This window comes from Homo sapiens, chromosome 6 (assembly GCF_000001405.40).
Source record: "Homo sapiens chromosome 6, GRCh38.p14 Primary Assembly".
NCBI classification, from domain to species: Eukaryota; Metazoa; Chordata; class Mammalia; order Primates; family Hominidae; genus Homo; species Homo sapiens.
The window spans coordinates 22503656-22521288 of record NC_000006.12 but is presented as its reverse complement, the minus strand read 5'-3'; the positions used below and the strand labels follow the sequence as shown (position 1 = coordinate 22521288).

Genomic DNA, 17633 nt, shown 5'->3' with positions numbered 1-17633 from the left:
AGGTCAACAAGTGCTTTGGCTGTTAGGATAGCTATATGGCCATGGACATTGTGACACATTCTCAATAAAATGTTTATTGGGCACACAATGAAATCTAATTATGTTTAAAGCAAAACATACCTGGGTACGCAAGACCACCACGAGCCCTCTGTCTAAATTTAGACCTTGGCCAAACTCTATAAAATCTATTAACCGTTCTTTGGTAAGCATAAAGTATGAGTAAAGGTGCTGTTATCACACAAACACCTATAAAATACAGCTTCAAAAGTATAAAAATAGTAGATAGGAACTGAGTCTACCTTGACATAGATTGTACTTTTAATATTCACATAGTCTGAACAGGAAGCCTGAATGTGTTCGAAGGCTTAATTAAGCCAAACCGCATCATTGGAAATCTTTTGTTTGGTTTGATTTTATTTTATCTGCCTTTGCATTCCCAAGAATAAAAAAATCACAAAGTCAAATGTGAAAAGAATTTGAAAACATGTATGGCAGTTGTTGCAGGCTTTCTTTTCTTTCTGTCTCTCACAATTTTTTTTAGTTCCAGCTAAACCTAGAGACACGAATAAAATTGCCACAACCCTAATCCACTCATGTTTATCTGATATCCAAAAGGCCTTAGAGAGCATAGATTGGCTTTATTCTCATATTAGGGGTTCAAGAATGCTATCAATAAATATCAGTAACTTCAGGTTACTCTTTCCTTCCTTCCTTCCTTCCTTCCTTCCTTCCCTCTTTCCTTCTTTCTACCCTTCCCTTTCTTCCCCCTTCCCCCTTCTCCCTTCTCTCTTCCTCCTCCCCTCCCTTCCCCTGTCCTCCTTTCCCTTCCCTTTCATCTTTTTCTGGATTTTTAATGTGTTCATACAGTGCTTCTTTATTCCAAATCTTAATCCTTTTTATGCAAATTTTTTTAGTCTGAAAATCATCTTTTAACTTGGTTTAAAGATGGTTTATTAGAGTTTCTTATTTAACACTTTATTTTCAATATTATTTTCCTTTATAGCTTTTGCATTTTCTATCTTGATAAGCCCAGATTGGCAAGCATATTTGCCTGTATTTTCTTCTGCAATTTTTAGAGTTTTGTTCTTTTACACTGGTAATTCTATAAACGTCAGCTTAAGGATTCTAAAGAACAGCAGATTGCCACAATGCTGTAGAATATTTCATGTTTTTCTAATGAATTTAATATTCTTAATTAGCAAACTCAATAGATTCTCTATTCAGTATTAACCATCTTTTTGCCAAATGATCTTTATGCCAAGTGACAGAGTTCTCATGTCCATTCTGTTTTGTTATTACATAGGTCAAACCTCTCCCAACCCCCACCACTTCCATTGCCTTTATCACTTGCTATTTTTCAAAATCAACTTGGTTGTTCTTGCCTGTTTTCTTATCCCAATAAATTTTAGTCTCAACCTATAAGATAACCCAAATAAACTTTCAGGGATATTAGCTAGGATTACTTTTACTAAAAGATTAATTTGAGAAGAATTAACCTAACAGTTCTACTACACATAATCCAGTTTTTCTGGTGGGCATATAAATCCTGTACTCCAAACCCCAGTGCTAATACACAGTCCCTAGCCTTCTAGAGCTTAATGATGACATGTGCTTAAACTTGCACAGAGAACAAATCATTCATATTTTGATAGTCTTTCCTGGTTGTATTGTGTTATTTTATTAGAGTTCTTTCATATATATTGCTGCATCTTGATCCTGCAAGAGGAAGGGTATATGACAATTCCCATGTTACCAATGTGGAAATTGCTGTCAACAACATTTGATGGAATTACCAGACCCAAACCTAAGTTTTGTGCTTTGTAGGCATGTATTTTTCCCATTCCACCAACCTGTTAGATCGCCCCCTTAAGATACTATCAGAATAATTCACTCTCCTTTCATTGAAAAGCTGGACTAGTCACTGTTGAGAGATAATATGTACAATCCACAAAACACTATCTTTAAAAGGCACATGCTATTTGAACTGAAAGGACTTTTAGAAATTATTGAGTAGCACTTCTTTGATTTACAGTTGAAGAAACTGACGCTAAGAAAAGTGAAGCCATTTTTGAGATTGCCTAGCTAGTTGGTGATTGCACAGTATCAATTTTAAAGCACATGTTTTGGCTTTGATCAGCTTGCAACTCTCCTTTCTGAAAGCTGCCATGCTAAAAAATAAAATAAAATAAGTCTGCTGATACCCATGCTTAGAAATTCAGAATCAGAGTGACCATTTCTCTGAGACTTCAAAACACCAAGTGATATTGCTGTACTAGTGTTCTCAAGGTGTGCCCTCTCAACTTGAGAAGTTTTTTCCTGACATCAGTGAACAATAAAACACCTTTACTCTTCATTGTCACCAAGGCTGATATTGTTTTGCTAGATTCAGTCTGTAATCATCTGAAGTAGCTGTTTAGTTCTCATGTGATTAATTTTAATTTGAAGGGACATCAACTGTAGCATGTTTTCTCCTTACTAGGAAAAAGCAAAAGCTAAGAACCTAGAAACCAGACATTATTTTTACTTTTTGTCTTTGCTTTGATCATAAAATATGATTACTGAGGTGAGATGATTGGCTAAACATTTTTAGCCACAGATTATGTGAACCTTTTTTTCTGGCTCTTTAAGCATTTAGGTAAGTATTTCATTATGAGTTCATGAAGTGATGCTTAAGTCATCATTCAACCTAAACTTTTACAAATTTTCAAGAAGGTCACCACTAAAAATACCAAATTTTGTGTAGTAAGTGCTTCTTAAATTACCTAATTTTGTAGCTCTTTTAAATATTTCTGTAGACCACGAAACCAAAAACTATACCATCACAAATCCTCTGAGGCATTTATTTTGCCCATAACTTTCTTAAAATGTTTAAACTGAAGCTATTTTTACACAGCAAAATTAATATCATTCAACTAGTGGATAGTTGCTCCAGCAACTGTTGGACAGAGTTGTTCTTTAATCTTGAGGATATCAGATTGGAGATTTAGATGTATTTAACAAGAGGTTTCAATATGAAGTCAACACAATTTTTCAACAATCCAATGAACCATCTTCCCAGTATTTCCTTTTCCTTAATAGTCTTTCATTCAGACCCACTCAGCAACCTCAATACTGAATAAATCTACTCTGAGTGGTTGCAAGTGGCTAAAAATATCACAAAATTATTCATATTGATTTACTGTAAATTCATGATCTTCAACCCCTGCTGTTCTCCTAATGGTGTCTGTTACTACCTCCATGTTTCCATACTCACGTCTCTTACTGTGTTCTTTGCTCTTTTCAGCACTCTCCACCTGTAACTTTTTCACCACCTTCCCACTCACAGTAAGCAATCTGGTCAGTTTCTTACCTAGAAAAAAATCAGGTGATAATTTCCCTTGCTTTCCACCACTAATCCGTTATTCTTTGTTATATTCCACAGTGGAAAAAGATTTCCTGTCCCCATACAAGATCAAATCCTTCACCTATGCTCTGGGTCAAATCAACTTGAAATGGGAGCACATAAGTCTGCATCCTACCTTCTTCTTTGCATGTTATTCTCCATCAACAGCTCCTTGCGGGTAGTGACCTTGTCTGTCTTGCTCACTGTCGTGCTTCCATTAGCCTAAAAGAGTAAGCAATAATAGGTGCTTAATAATATTAAGGATGGGAAGTACTCCATAACTATTCATCAAGGTTGTGTAACTGAATTCAATGAGTAGCTATGCTGTGCTAATAATCAACAGATATTCTAAGTATCTTTAAACTTGGATGAAGTGCTAATAATATACAGCCTCAACTTGTATGAATTATTTCATCCACACAAATTTGCCCTTTCTACTTTTTGTATTTTGGGGGTCTGGGGGACCTGATTTTCTTAGCTTTGGTTCTCCCTGGTTGTCTTATCTTCAGATCCAGGCTAGATTTACATTTATTTTCTACTATAGACTTGTCATGTGATAAATTCTATCAGTTTCCAGGATATGGGTATATTTTAGCATCTACTTGTCAAGCTCATAAACACCCAAGCAGGCACTGATTCAGAGTCTCCATCTCACTACACTGGGTATCTCAAAAAAAAAAAAAGTCCTTGAAAAAATACAGACGAAACATGTAATACAAGAAATAACAAGAATGGAAACATACCAAGAAAGAAAACCTTGGGAAAACTGAAGGCTATTCTGCTGTTGCAGCCAAGGAGAGAAGGTAGTTGGTGGCTACTTGAGAAGATAAATTTTTAAAAGATGGCTTAAATTTTGCTCTTCCCTTTCCTTACACGATTGCCTTAGGACTTCACTTAGGACTTCATTGAAAGCCCACATCAAGGTATCCTGAAGAATGATAACATATAGTCAGTGCAGGATGCTACTAGGGTAAGGAGCTATAAAATAGCAGGAGAGGCCGGGCGCGGTGGCTCATGTCTGTAATCCCAGCACTTCAGGAGGCCGAGGCAGGAATTCAAGACCAGCCTGGCCAATATGGTGAAACCCCATCTCTACTAAAAATACAAAAATTAGCCGGGCGTGGTAGCAGGCACCTGTAATCCCAGCTACTCGGAGGCTGAGGCAGGAAAATTACTTGAACCCAGGAGGCAGAGGATGCAGTGAGCTGAGATCGTGCCATTGCACTCCAGCCTGGGGGACAAGAGTGAGACTTCGTCCAAAAAAAAAAAAAAGCAGGTAGAGATTGACCTGACACCCACTACTCTGTCCCTTCCTCCCAAGCCCCTAGCATTCAGGGAATACAATACTTTCTTAAGGCTTCCTACATATATACTACAAATTGGTCTAGCGTCCAGAAAATTATTCTACAGTAGCCCAGTGCTTCATCCTTCAGGGTGCACAAGGTGGGGTATGGGACATATGGTAAAACTGATGGTGTATCCTTGGAAATTCTGTACAATGTCCATGGAAGATGGCTGACTTTCACCCAGGGACGTAGAACAAATGTGGAAAATACCACCCAGGAGACATGACAAAGAATGTGAGCAACCCAACCAAGGACAGGAATCATGTACTTAAATCTTACAGAAGCTCACACTACCAAAAAAGGGACGTTTTTTTCTTAAAGGATGTGTTTCTTTTGCAAACACAATAGACTAAAATAATCATTTCTGAATTCTGACTCAAGACCCCAGATTTTAAATTAAGAACACTGACAGAAAGACATGGGATATAAATGTAACTCAGAAAATGGGGTTAAAAATGGGAAATGTCTCAGATTAGATTCCAGAAATCCAAATAGTTTTGCTTATGATCCTGTGAATTTATTTCTTGGGAGATTTAGTAGAAGTAGCTACAGAAAGCTAAAAGTATTGCTTTTTAAAGAGTCATTTTTATTACAATAAAAATACAATACATATAAGAAAAAGTGTTTAAGATATAAATGTAAAGGCAACCACCATCTAGGTCAAGAAACAGACTATTACCCAGAAGCTCCTTCCTTCTGAATCCAATCCCTAACTTCCTCTTTAAAGATAACCATTATCAGCAGGGTCTGATGGTATGCACCTGTAATCCCAGTTACTCAGGAGGCTGTGGCAGGAGAATCACTTGAACCCAGGAGGTGGAGGTTGCAGTGAGTCAAGATCACACCACTGCACTCCAGCCTGGGTGACAGAGTGAGACTATCTATCAAAAAAAACAAAAACAAAAACAAAAAAACACACAACAAGATACCCATTATCTTGACTTTTTTTAACGAATTATTTTATGGCTTTACAACTTAAATATTCCTACTTATCCAATGCAGATAAGGGCTTTTTGTAATCATACAGTTTTTTTTCTTTATGTCTTGCTTTTTGGGCTAAACCTTACATTGATAAAAATCCATTGTGCTGTTGTTTATAATTGCAGTTCAGTCATTTTCATTAATTAATTACTTACTCATTTTCCTACTGATGATATTAGAATTGTTTCCACTTAATAAGTGTTTTGAAAACTGCTCCTACAAACTTTGTCATTCCTATCATCTGGTGTAAATATGCCTGCATTTTTCTAGGACATACACTTAGAATTAGAATTGTCGGAATATGTAAATATGCCTAACTTCATTAGATATTAGAAAAATGTTCTCCAAAATGCTTTGTATTTTCCTGATGGTTATAGGCCATTTGTATAGCTCTGTTTGTGATGTGCCTATTCAAAACATCTGCCCATTTTTCTACAGAATTATCCTTATTTTTTAATTGACTTGAAGGTTAAATTACTTGACCAACATCACATATATAATAAGTTGCAGAAATCTGAAAGCCTGATCTGTTTGATTCAAACATTCTTAATTGCTATTGCCTCCCCAAATGGCTACAGAATAGCTTATTTTAAGAAGCCAAATAATTTCATTTATTAATGCAGATACTAAATAATTATGTTTTAAAATGTTGTAGGTTTTCAAGTAAAACATATTAGGATATTATATATATATATACAGTTTCATATGTATATATGAAACTAACTTTTATTTTCACTCATGTATTGTAAAGACAATTCCACTTATTATAGAGAGTAAGTGGGTGGTATTGAATGCCCATTATGTACCAAGTGTGCCATTTGCATATGTGTGTATTTCATACGACAGTGCTAAGTATGTATGGGTTTATACTTATAAAGAATGTTAGAGATATAATCACGTGAATACTCTTGAACTCACTGGAGAATAGTTTTAATTAAACAAAATCATAAGAGATAACTCAGGCAGATTCATTGGTATGAGTGAATTTTGTATTTATACAACTATACATATGAACATGTTGTTGACAAAAAGCTATTGCTTTTTAACAACTGGGTGAACTGAAAGGCAGTAATATGTGAGCAGACAAATGATCTGGAGCCATAATTTTAAAATTGTGAGATTTTATTTAAATGAGCTCAAATATTTGTGCTCTTAGTCTTTCTCTCCTATCATAATTTTTTTTCTCTCTTTATTTTTCTTTCTCCATTCTTATCCACTCTCTTCTCTTCTGTTTATAGCACATGGAGCTTACAAGGAGGGGACTATTTCAAAGCACTAGGGGTAAGGGTTTGCAGAAGAGTGAGTAAGGAAGATGAGGATAGAGAAAGAAGGAGAGATTTTTCTCTTTGGCTACTAGCTTGCAGTTCAATTGCCTTCTTCCAACTGCACATTCTGAGAAAATGATTGCTACCTCTCAGAACACCAGACCTGGGGAATGGGGCCTTATCCCAGGGCCAATAAAGAAGCCACTGCTGTCAAGCTGCAGGTGCAAGCCCTCAATTAGAACGTGCTGTTCATCTCTGTCAACACTAATGAAATTCAGAAGCCTAAAGTGACAGGTACAGCAACTGGTTTGGGAGTTTAAAAATTAATACCATCAAGTTTCATTTTCCCGTTCCTTCTAGCCTGGCTCCTTCCAGTAGGAAGGTGAGCAGAAGGAGCCTCGCTCCGCCAGCATGTGCACGTCCAGGAGGCGAGGCCGAAATCCAAGTGGCGCTGCAGAATTGTTTTGAAAGGCAGGGAAAGAAGGGAGGGCGGGCAGGGGATAAAACTCAGGTGCCCTTTTGAACTCTGACAAGACAAATGAACCTTCAGTCATGATATTCCAGACCAGAACTGACAACTTTCAAAGGCAGAAGTTGGATTGCAAGAGCAGCTTGTCTGTCAGAACACGCCAAGAGGAATACTAAATGAAGGTTGAAATGGAGCAACGGTTCATTTGGAGCATGCTTTTAGATAAAGCAAATACAGTACTAAGGAGGTCAATTTCTGAAAATCATCATAAAGTATCTACTGGATTTTATAAAGTGGAGCTGCATATTTTTTCACAAATGAAATAAACCATTACATATAAATTGTATTCCAAATAAAAGGGACTGAAGACTCTTCAAGAATGCAATAGTACTTGGGCTATTTCTGTAGATATAGATATAATTAATAGAAGGCATTTACAAAATGATTCCTTTTCCTTTTAAAATTTGGAAACATGCCTTTTCAGCTGCCTGTATATGTATGTTCTCTGAGTTAATCTGAAAGTTTCCTACAAATGATGTGAAAATTTGCCATGAATCAGAACCGAAACATTTGACGGCAAATCCCCCGCTGAAATCCGAGAGTCCACATTGAACAGATTTCTGTAGTACAAGTGGAACACTGCCAAGAATTTTTTTTTAAGAGCCATGATATCTCAGAGGAAATATATAAAGAGTTTCTTGATTCTTTTAACCAGTGCAGCCAAACCCTTTCCCTGAGGTTAGGGCCAGCACACTAGCTATGGTTCTTTCCTTCTTCCTACAAGTTCCTGACTTCATCCATCTTCTCTCTTGGCTCACTGATTTGTAGTCTCTCCACTCTGGTTTGAACTCAGTCGAATCTAGAAGTTGCTGCTTTTTCTCAGTTAGCAGTGGATCAGGTCAAGCGCAGGTCAGTTGGTACCTTCTTTTTTGAAAGCTGTTTCTGTAGGGTTTTTTTAGTCAGATACAACTCTCTGCCTTCAGCCCTTCCCAGCATGGCACCTATTATAAATTCATAAACCTCAGCCCGTCCTCACACTTCATTGCACATCATCTAAGATGGTATATGCAAACCTTGTGACGCCATCTCGGAGCAAACACATTTCCCATCCAAATCACAAAATTCAGCTCATTAATAAAAATGCTCCTGGGCTTTTATAGTGGGGGATTATTACATGACATATGATTAAAATATAACAGTGTTTCTTTTTAATTTCTGTTAGAAAAAATGCATTTTTATGAGAGGTAGTATAGATCAGGTAACCATATACTTTATCGTCAAAACCAGGACAGCTCTGAGAGTGAAAGGAAATACTATTTATAATTACTCCAAAATGGCAGGCATATATTGAGACTTCCTGAACTACCCAGGATGTATGTCATCTAAAGCTAGGTCAGTTGGGCCACAAAATGGCTCTTGTCAGTAAAAAAATATCAGGTATCTGGCTGTTGGAAAAATCAGTCAGCTGACTTCAATGGTAGTAATTTGCCCCTTTTGACTTAAAAATGTAAGAAAAATGGTATTTGCTTTCCAACAGCCAAGAACTGAACATGACACTTTGGGAAAATGCAGAACAGATGAGAATGAAAAATTAAGTCTTAAAAGAGAAAATATACAGAGGAGGAGATATAATTGTATGAGTAATTTCTGGTCAGCAAAGTCAGTTCATATATTCTGATTAAGCCCCTACTATGGGATAAAACACTCCTTCAGGTATTGAAGGGTATTCGAAATACCAGGTATTACTTGTGGCATGACAGCACGCAGACAGAGAGACAATACACAACAGTATGCACTAGAGCAGCTCTGCAAAGGAAGAGAATTATTTGGGCTGAGAAGATCAGAAAAGATTTTAGGAAGGAAGGGTAAAATTGATTATGCTGGTCCTGAATTGAAGTATTTAGATAGGCAGAGAGGATGTGGGAGGGACTCCAGAGAAAGAAAATAGCAGGAACAAAGGATTGGGCAGTGAGATATCAGTCATGTCCAGTTCACAGTCAGTGGAACACCCAAGCCACGGCAAAAGTATACTATGAACTGGAGAAGATAAAACAACAGTGATCAGTAGATGGGACTAAATGTCAAGATAAGGAGAGGTGCGTGGCACTTTGAAATGCTACTGCAAATGATGTGATATATGTTAGGAAACCAGTTTGACATGAAGATTCCTGTTGAATTACTGCCTGGAGGGAAAAAAATGAAGTCAGGGACACCCAGTTACATGGTTATTTCAGTACTCCATATATGAGGAGAGAAAGACCTGAATTAAATGATGATAATTTAAAAAATTGAGTCAATATTTTTTAATGATATAGAAGAGAAAAATCCAGTTTATTCTCGGTAACTGATTAAATCAATTGATCCAGAGTGGCAGATTCAGACTGAGGCACAGCTTCTAAATCTCTTGAAGTTAAAAATGCCATCATGCTTAGAGAGGAAGGTGAGGCGTTTGTTTCCAGACATGTTTACTTTTAAGTGGCAGGAAACATCTAGGTGAGGAAGTACAGAGTAGATAGGTGTTCTGCAGGTAGATTAAAGTTAGAGTTAATTTGGGTCCTTGCAAGTCATTACCTTGAAGTTGATTATAAAAATTTGAAAGGCCGGGCATGGTAGCTCACACCTGTAATCCCAGCACTTTGGGAGGCCGAGGCGGGTGGATCACCTGAGGTCAGGAGTTCGAGACCGGCCTGGCCAACATGGTGAAACCCCGTCTCTACTAAAATACAAAAATTAGCCAGGCATGGTGGTGGGTGCTTGTAATCCTAGCTACTCGGGAGGCTGAGGCAGGAGAATCACTTGAACCCAGGAGGTGGAGGCTGCAGTGAGCCGAGATCGTGCCATTCCACTCCAACCTGGGAGACAGAGCGAGAGTTTGTCTCAAAAAAAAAAAAAAAAAACTTTTTGAGAAATATGACTTTTCTTTCTTAATATCCACTTAACTATAGAGAGTTCATCTATATCACTGTATATAGATGGGAAGGCAGGGTGACACCACTGATTTCACTGTATATAGATGGGAAGGCAGGGTGGAATGAGGAAATAAATCTTTGAAGGAGGCAAAGAAAGAATGGTCTGAGTGGTTAGGTAGAGAACTAGGATTGTGTGGTTTTGTAAAACCTAGATGAGATCTTAAACAAGAAGAGAGATATTTATATTATTTAAAGAGCAAAGACAAAGGGAAGACTTTTAAAAGGCCACTGCATTGGTTGTTTGGATTCTTATCTTTGAGCAAGAATTAAGTTTCATGAGAGTGGCAGAATTTTAAAGTGACCAGATGTCAAGGAAATTGAAGCAGCAGATGGATTAGGCTCATTGAAGACATTTTGTAGTACAAAAAAAGCAAAACAGTATAGATGACAGCTTCCAGGGCACAAATGTATATCATAAGTTCGATTTCTGGGAGATACACTGGAGATGTGAGAATAAATGTTTTTGGAGTCATTCATAAACAGAAGGAAGGTGACATGATTGAAACAAGAAGTCAATTGGAATTTCCCAAAATGGAAAAAAGACATCATCCCCTCTGTATCTAGAAAGCATGGTGATTGATACGTACAGATAAGGCAATATTTAAGTGAGGAAGAAAGTATATATGGGACTTATCACATTACCTCCCAAGAAGAGTATGCCTAATTGTATCTCTGCATGTCTCTTTATAAGGGTTACAAATTTCTGTTATTTCACATTGTGTTTCATTACATCTTTCTTCCAAACCTTTCTTCCCATCGATTTTGTTTACTTTCTTATTTCATTTGTTGATTTGTTTTCCACTTTCTTTTGGTGTTCCTGCTTAAATAGCAATGCATGATTTTTAAAATGGATATATTTTTATTTGTTCCATATCTTATACATTTTGTGCTATCTGTTCATGGTTTATATTTTATATATTTTTTCCTCTCATGGTTTCCAATTAACAATAATTTTTATGATCCCTGTTCTGGCCCATGCACAAGTCAGATAAGTCATAAAGTTATTTCAATAAGAAAAGGATGTGAAATATCAAGATCTTTCATTCTTTTATTTTTGATTTAAAAAGTGACTAGTGTTTAAAGGTATTCATAATTTTATTTTATGATGTACTTAAAACATAGAAAATAACATAGAGATTGGACTTCAGACAAAGCCCTATTTTATTACTAGTGAAATGAGTTACATTTTAGCTAAATTTACATTGGATTCAGGGAAAAGTGCATGTGCCAATTATAAAAGGACCTGAGGCTGAATTTGTGCACTGAGTACAATTTGAAAATGGTGAAACCTTAAATAAATACTTAGATTTTAAATTTTCAATGTATTGTATTTATTTTTATATCTTGTAAAAAAAATCATTATTGTGGTCAAAATAGGACTCATACAACTGCTGGGTTGATTCGTAGGTTGTGTTGACATGACTCCAAATGTGTGAATCAAATATGAAAAAAATCAGTTAATTATCTAGACATTTATAAACACCTAGATGTTTGACACTACGTAGAAAACATATTGGTGTTCAATTTTGATTCAAATATTTTATTCAAATATTGGCTTCCTGAACCTCTTGGGACTGTCTTTTAATCGTTTGTGACTCAAAAACAGAGTCAATTACCAAACAATTTTTATTCTATTTTTCACACAGAAGCATCGTACATATGCCTCCTAACTTTAACTCCCTACGACCTACTACTCTAACATTTGCTGTGGAGTAATTTTGTGCCAGAAACTGCAAAGATGTTTACACAGATTATCTCTGGTCCTCATAACTAGCCGGCAAAGCAGGATCAGTTATCCTCATTCTACACATTAGACAAATGAGGCTCAGAAAGGCTTAGTAAAAGGTTGATGAAATTCCAAGAAAACACAGGTTTGTGTGGTTCAATGCCTACTGCCTTTCAGCTGCTACACAAAGCTACCTTTCTCCCATCGTACCTGTGATAAACCCTCTTTGACTGGAATTGCATTAATTCAACAGCTTCCTAAGTGGATCTCCCTGCCTCAGGTCTCACCACCGGTCAACCCTCTCTAATACTTTTAATAATTGGATATATCCTTTATAACAGCTTTCAGTGATCTCTTAGGCACAAGAAACAAGAGCCTCACAAGACAACTTATTCAGTAAAGCAGAAGGATGAAAAAAATCTTTATTGTGAAATTTACAGAATTACACTGCATGAAACCTACTGCAATTTGTAGAGACATTTTTTGTAATTTAGTATGTGGCAAATATTTGCAAATATTCCATGCAGACTTTAAAATTATATATATATATTATATATATATAATTGTGTATGTGTATATATATAGTGTGTATATATACACTACACACACACACACACAATTTGATTGAGACTTGTGAGTTCCACTTACCTAATGGGTCAAGCTTGTAAGATTAAACCTTCTATTTCAGTTTTCCCAGTCTTCTATGTCCTTCCTCTGGTTTATTTTCTCTTCTTGCTGAATTCTTGATGTTTTGTTGTTGCTGCTGTTGTTCTTTTTAATCATTTCTGCCCATCCTCACCTTTTGACTCCATTCCAAATGTAGGTTTTATAATGGCAGGTTAAGGCCCCTGCCTTGCAGTGAGACTGAGGCTATTACAGGACAGATTACCAAATCAGCTGTTGACCTCTCTTAGTTCTGGGTCATCTAGGCCAGCTATATTATCTACAGCCACAGACCCACAGCTTGGCAGCACTTTATTCCAGCCTTTTATATCAATGTGGGGTGGTCGATACGGTGCCCTTTGGGATCCAGAGCCCTTATTCAGACCTGGCTTCCAGATGTGGGATGGTCCCTTGTCTTTGAGCACTTTCAGCCTCCATAGGAGCTGAACACTCCAGGGCCATTGCCTACCTGTGGACCCAGACTCCAGCAGGCCCCTCCCTTCAAATCCTCATAGGGTTGCATTTCCATTTCACTGTGAAGTCTGTGAAGATACTATTGTTTTTAAAGCCTGACTATATTTATTTAATTTTCTCATTTCGTATTGTATCTCCTTTTGATAACAGTTTGGCACAAAAAGGCTGTGTGAAAATTCATACCACCTTGACCAAAAGTTGGAATATCATATTTATAATATTATGCTATTTGCAATATATACTAACTCCAGTATGTATTGTAATGTTTCTGCATGAGCATGTCAGTAAAGTGGCCTCCTTTCCTCCTGAAAGGAGGCAGTGGACCACTGGCATAACTCAAAATGTATGAATACACGCTAAAAATCAATTATCTAGACACTTATAAACACCAAGATGTTTGGCACTACATAGAAAACATAGCTGTGTTCAATTTTTAGTCAAATAAAATAAAAAGGAAGAGGAGGCTGCATTCCTATGGAAGGAAAAAGATATGCACCTTGAAGCTTAGGATAGAAATGTAACCAGCAAAAATCCAGGTGGCTTTCCCCCATGCACCTCTATGTGGCTTCCAAGAGAGAAAACTCCTTTCTTCCCCCATAGCTGGGCAACGTTATGCTGGAACACATGTCTACAACAGCCCTTTCTCATCCCAGAGGGAGGTAAGGTAAGGACTGATGGTGAGTCTCAGTGATCTTCCAGAATTCTGCAGACTCAATGATTTTCCTCCAGTTCTACATTTTTATGGGCCTGTCATTAAGGAACAAAATCCAGGTGGTAAGCAAGTATCTCCATTCCTCACAGGACTAGATTCAATAGCACAGGGAAAAGAATGTGCTCTTGAAAATGTTAAAAGTAAAAATGCTGTCAGAAATAAGAACAACGTGTTAAGATCACAATCGGCTTCATGAAACCTGGAACTGCTGCCAGGGGCAAGGAGAATGGGTCAAACTGTGTCCAAGCTGGTAAAAATGAATACATCAACTCACCAAACTGAGTTACAGAGGGTTTCCTTACAAAATTTAAATCTGTATTTCAATTTCATAAGACCACTTTTTTAAAAATTAACCTATGTTTTCCAAAATGAAATAAAAGTCAATAATCTTGGAAATGCTAAAATATATTTTCCGAGAGCATACTTTCAATATAAGCACTAAGTGCAGCCACAAGTGTGAAAGAGAATTATATAATTAAACAACACCTATTTTCTCAACATTCGATGAACATCTAATGCATAAAGTCTTAAGCAAGAAAAAAAGTAAGACATTCTGTACAGTTAAGCTTTTCGTGTGGATTGGAAAAATGATCCTGTAAATGGGATTTTGGAAAGAAACGTGGAGGGAAACGTCTGCAAGGAAAAAAGCCAAAGGAAATAAAGTTGCAGTGAAAATTTTATGTGTGTGTATAACTTTATATTTTCTGGCATGATAAAAATACTGATAGGAGAAAAGCTTCCCCATTCTTAACATGTACCTCTATTAGGAAAGAACGGAATAGGTTCGATCATCGCTAGATAAGCTGGCCACAGAACTTCCAAATGACTTTACACATGGTTTTTAATTTTAATAATTAACATGGAATTAATTTTTGAGCAAATTCTAGCCAATTCTATATCGAGTACACTTAGTAGATTTTCATCTTGATGTGCATATTAGACATCCAATTTCTGTTTTATTAGAACTCTCCAACTATCCTTGTCTCTGGAGATCAATTTCATTTAATTAAAAAAGTACCAACAATTGTCTGCCTTGTAATATTGCTTACATGAAGTTAGTGTTCCTGACCCACGTGCTCCCTTCATCTCAGTCTTCTAATGCATTTTCTTTTCCTCTTGTTTAAACCTTTTCTCCTCGGGCACACATGGCCGAAGGCCTGCGGAAGCCAGCCAACACAAACCCTCTTCTGAAACCTGCACAGTATCCATTACAGTTTGGGCAGATGAGGCAAGTTACAATCATGTGTGATGTCATCTATAGTAACATGGTAGCATGCTTAATTTCAAATAAACACCAATTCCACTCATCTGAATATAATCACCATTATTTTTTTATTAAGAGGGCATAAATTATTCCCAGTAAGCAAACCAAAACACAACCTGTCTTGCTGCCAAGTTCATCACTTTCTTCCTTAAGAATAATTCCTTCAACCATTCCTTCTGCTTAATTCTATTAAGTTCTTCCATCTAGACAAAATATCATATTTATGATAGTGCTGTAGATGTCTCTGTACAAGGCTTGCAAATGTCTAAATTACTCTCAGTCCACGATGATTCTGAGTGAAAGCTGGCTGTTGGGATCTTTTAACCTGCACCTCTACCTCTGAATGCAGAGGCATCAAGGTTGATGGATAAGCAGCATAGTGTCAAACCTTTAGAAGCCTGGACACTTCTGTGGTGATAACATCTGATGCATCACTTTCTTAAGGGCATGCCATAGGAAGAATAATGGCTGTCAAAGATGCCCATTTTCTTATGCTTGAAACTCGTGAAAGTTTTAGGTTATATGGCAAAGAGGAGTTAAGGCTGCAATGAAATTAAGATTGCTAATTCTCTGATCTTAAGATGGGGAAGTCATTCTGGATTATCCTGGTGGGGCCAACATAATCACAACCTCCTTAAATATGATAGAGAGAGGTAGAACATGGAAAGGGACCATAATCCAAGGAAAGTGCAATTTCTAGAAGCTGGAAAAGGCGATAAAATGATTTCTTCTCTCTCTCTCTCTTTTTTTTTTTTTTTGAGAAGGAGTCTCACTATCTCCAGGCTATAGTACAGTGGCACAATCTCGGCTCACTGCAACCTCCGTCTCCCACGTTCAAGTGACTCTCCTGCCTCAGCCTCCTAAGTAGCTGGGTCTACAGGTGTGTGCCACCATGCCCAGCTAATTTTTTGTATTTTTAGTAGAGATGAGGTTTCACCATGTTAGCCAGGATGGTCTCAATCTCTTAACCTCATGATCTGCCCGCCTTGGCCTCCCAAAGTGCTAGGATTACAAAAATGGTTTCTTCTTTATGGTCTTTAGAAAGGCCTGCTGACACCTTCATTTTAGCCCACAGGGACCCATTGTAGATTTCTGGACTACAGAACTATAAAATTATTATTTGTGTGGTTTTAAGTTTGTGGTAACGTGTTAGAGCAGCAATAGGTAACTAATACAGAACATTTTAAAATAATAGAAATGGACATTTCCATTTCCAAATGGAAATCTGTTGCTGTGCAAATGTTAAACATATCTTAATTATGTTAGTTGGAGGAATAATGTCAATTTTACTTCTCACTAAAAATGAATTTTGGCTTTTGAAAGAGATGTTTGTCAAGAACAAGAGGCAGAAGACACCTTACTTTAAAAGAACCCACACGGCAAAGACAATATCTGGCACAAAATAGTTTCTCAATAGATGAGTTTTGAATGAATGAAAAGACACACTATGGTTGGCTTGATTTTTCTAGATCACATTCTATAGTGCATTAACACGTGCTAGCCATTCAACGACAAATATTTAGTGAGCAAGTACTTGGGGTTAGGCTTTGTTCTAGTGACAAAAACAGTATATGTTCAGAAAGGAAGATATTCCTGTGTTTGGAACACTCACTGGAAAAGGAGGCTGAAATCGACTGGGCCATGAAATCATAAGTAAATCATAGATACATACCGAGGAAAGGAGGTGTTCTGGCAGAGAAACGCCCGTTTCTTCAGCAGGCAGCAGAAAGGAGGAGGGCAGGAATAGTAGTCTCAAGTACAGTGTCATATAGAGAAATAAGGCAACTATTTAATAAAAGACAATCCAGAGGGCTGGGCAATGAATATTCACCATTTGTATTCCCAGAGTCTGCACCAAATACGTGCTTAATAAATATAGGTAAATAATAAATGAGCATACCAAAAGAATAAGAAAAAAAGAGTAGGTATAAGACATTTTAGAAAAAGTTTTAAATGCCAAGTTAGGGGATAAGGAATATTATACAGGTAAAAGTAAGATATTAATGAAGACTTAACAAGAAAAAGACATGAAGAAATCCATTTTAGAAAGATTAACCTGACAATGATGTGAAAGTCTTATGTCAATAGAGAGAAATGGTATGGAGCTTCATTATTTTGTGTCTGTAATATTAGTATTGATCCTATTTTCTCTCTGAACTCTCTCTCTCTATATATATATATGAAAGAAAGATGTTATAACAGATCTATCAAACTTACCCCCACCTTCTACTGGCCACAATCCTGTATTAATGGAAACTCCAGATCTCTACATGCTCTGCCAAGATTTCACTTGTTTCTCCCCTCAAATGCCTACAATTTCATTGTTATATTCCTTGGGACCATTGTGACTTTGATGCCTATTCATGGCAGTCACAGGAAGCT

General features: G+C 36.9%; 1 long non-coding RNA gene across 2 annotated transcripts in view; it reads right to left on the bottom strand.

Annotated features, from left to right (window-relative positions):
* Positions 1-17633, bottom strand: part of LOC105374971 (uncharacterized) — a 241097-nt gene that overhangs the window by 69026 nt on the left and 154438 nt on the right. Inside the window, exons 4-5 of one of the 2 annotated variants that reach the window (XR_001744024.2) lie at positions 3519-3604; positions 3171-3349 (exon numbers count right to left, since the gene is read on the bottom strand). This is a non-coding gene — a long non-coding RNA (uncharacterized LOC105374971). Of the gene's footprint in view, positions 1-3170; positions 3350-3518; positions 3605-17633 lie in introns of those variants that run through there. The other variant, XR_001744025.1, reaches the window with a different exon arrangement.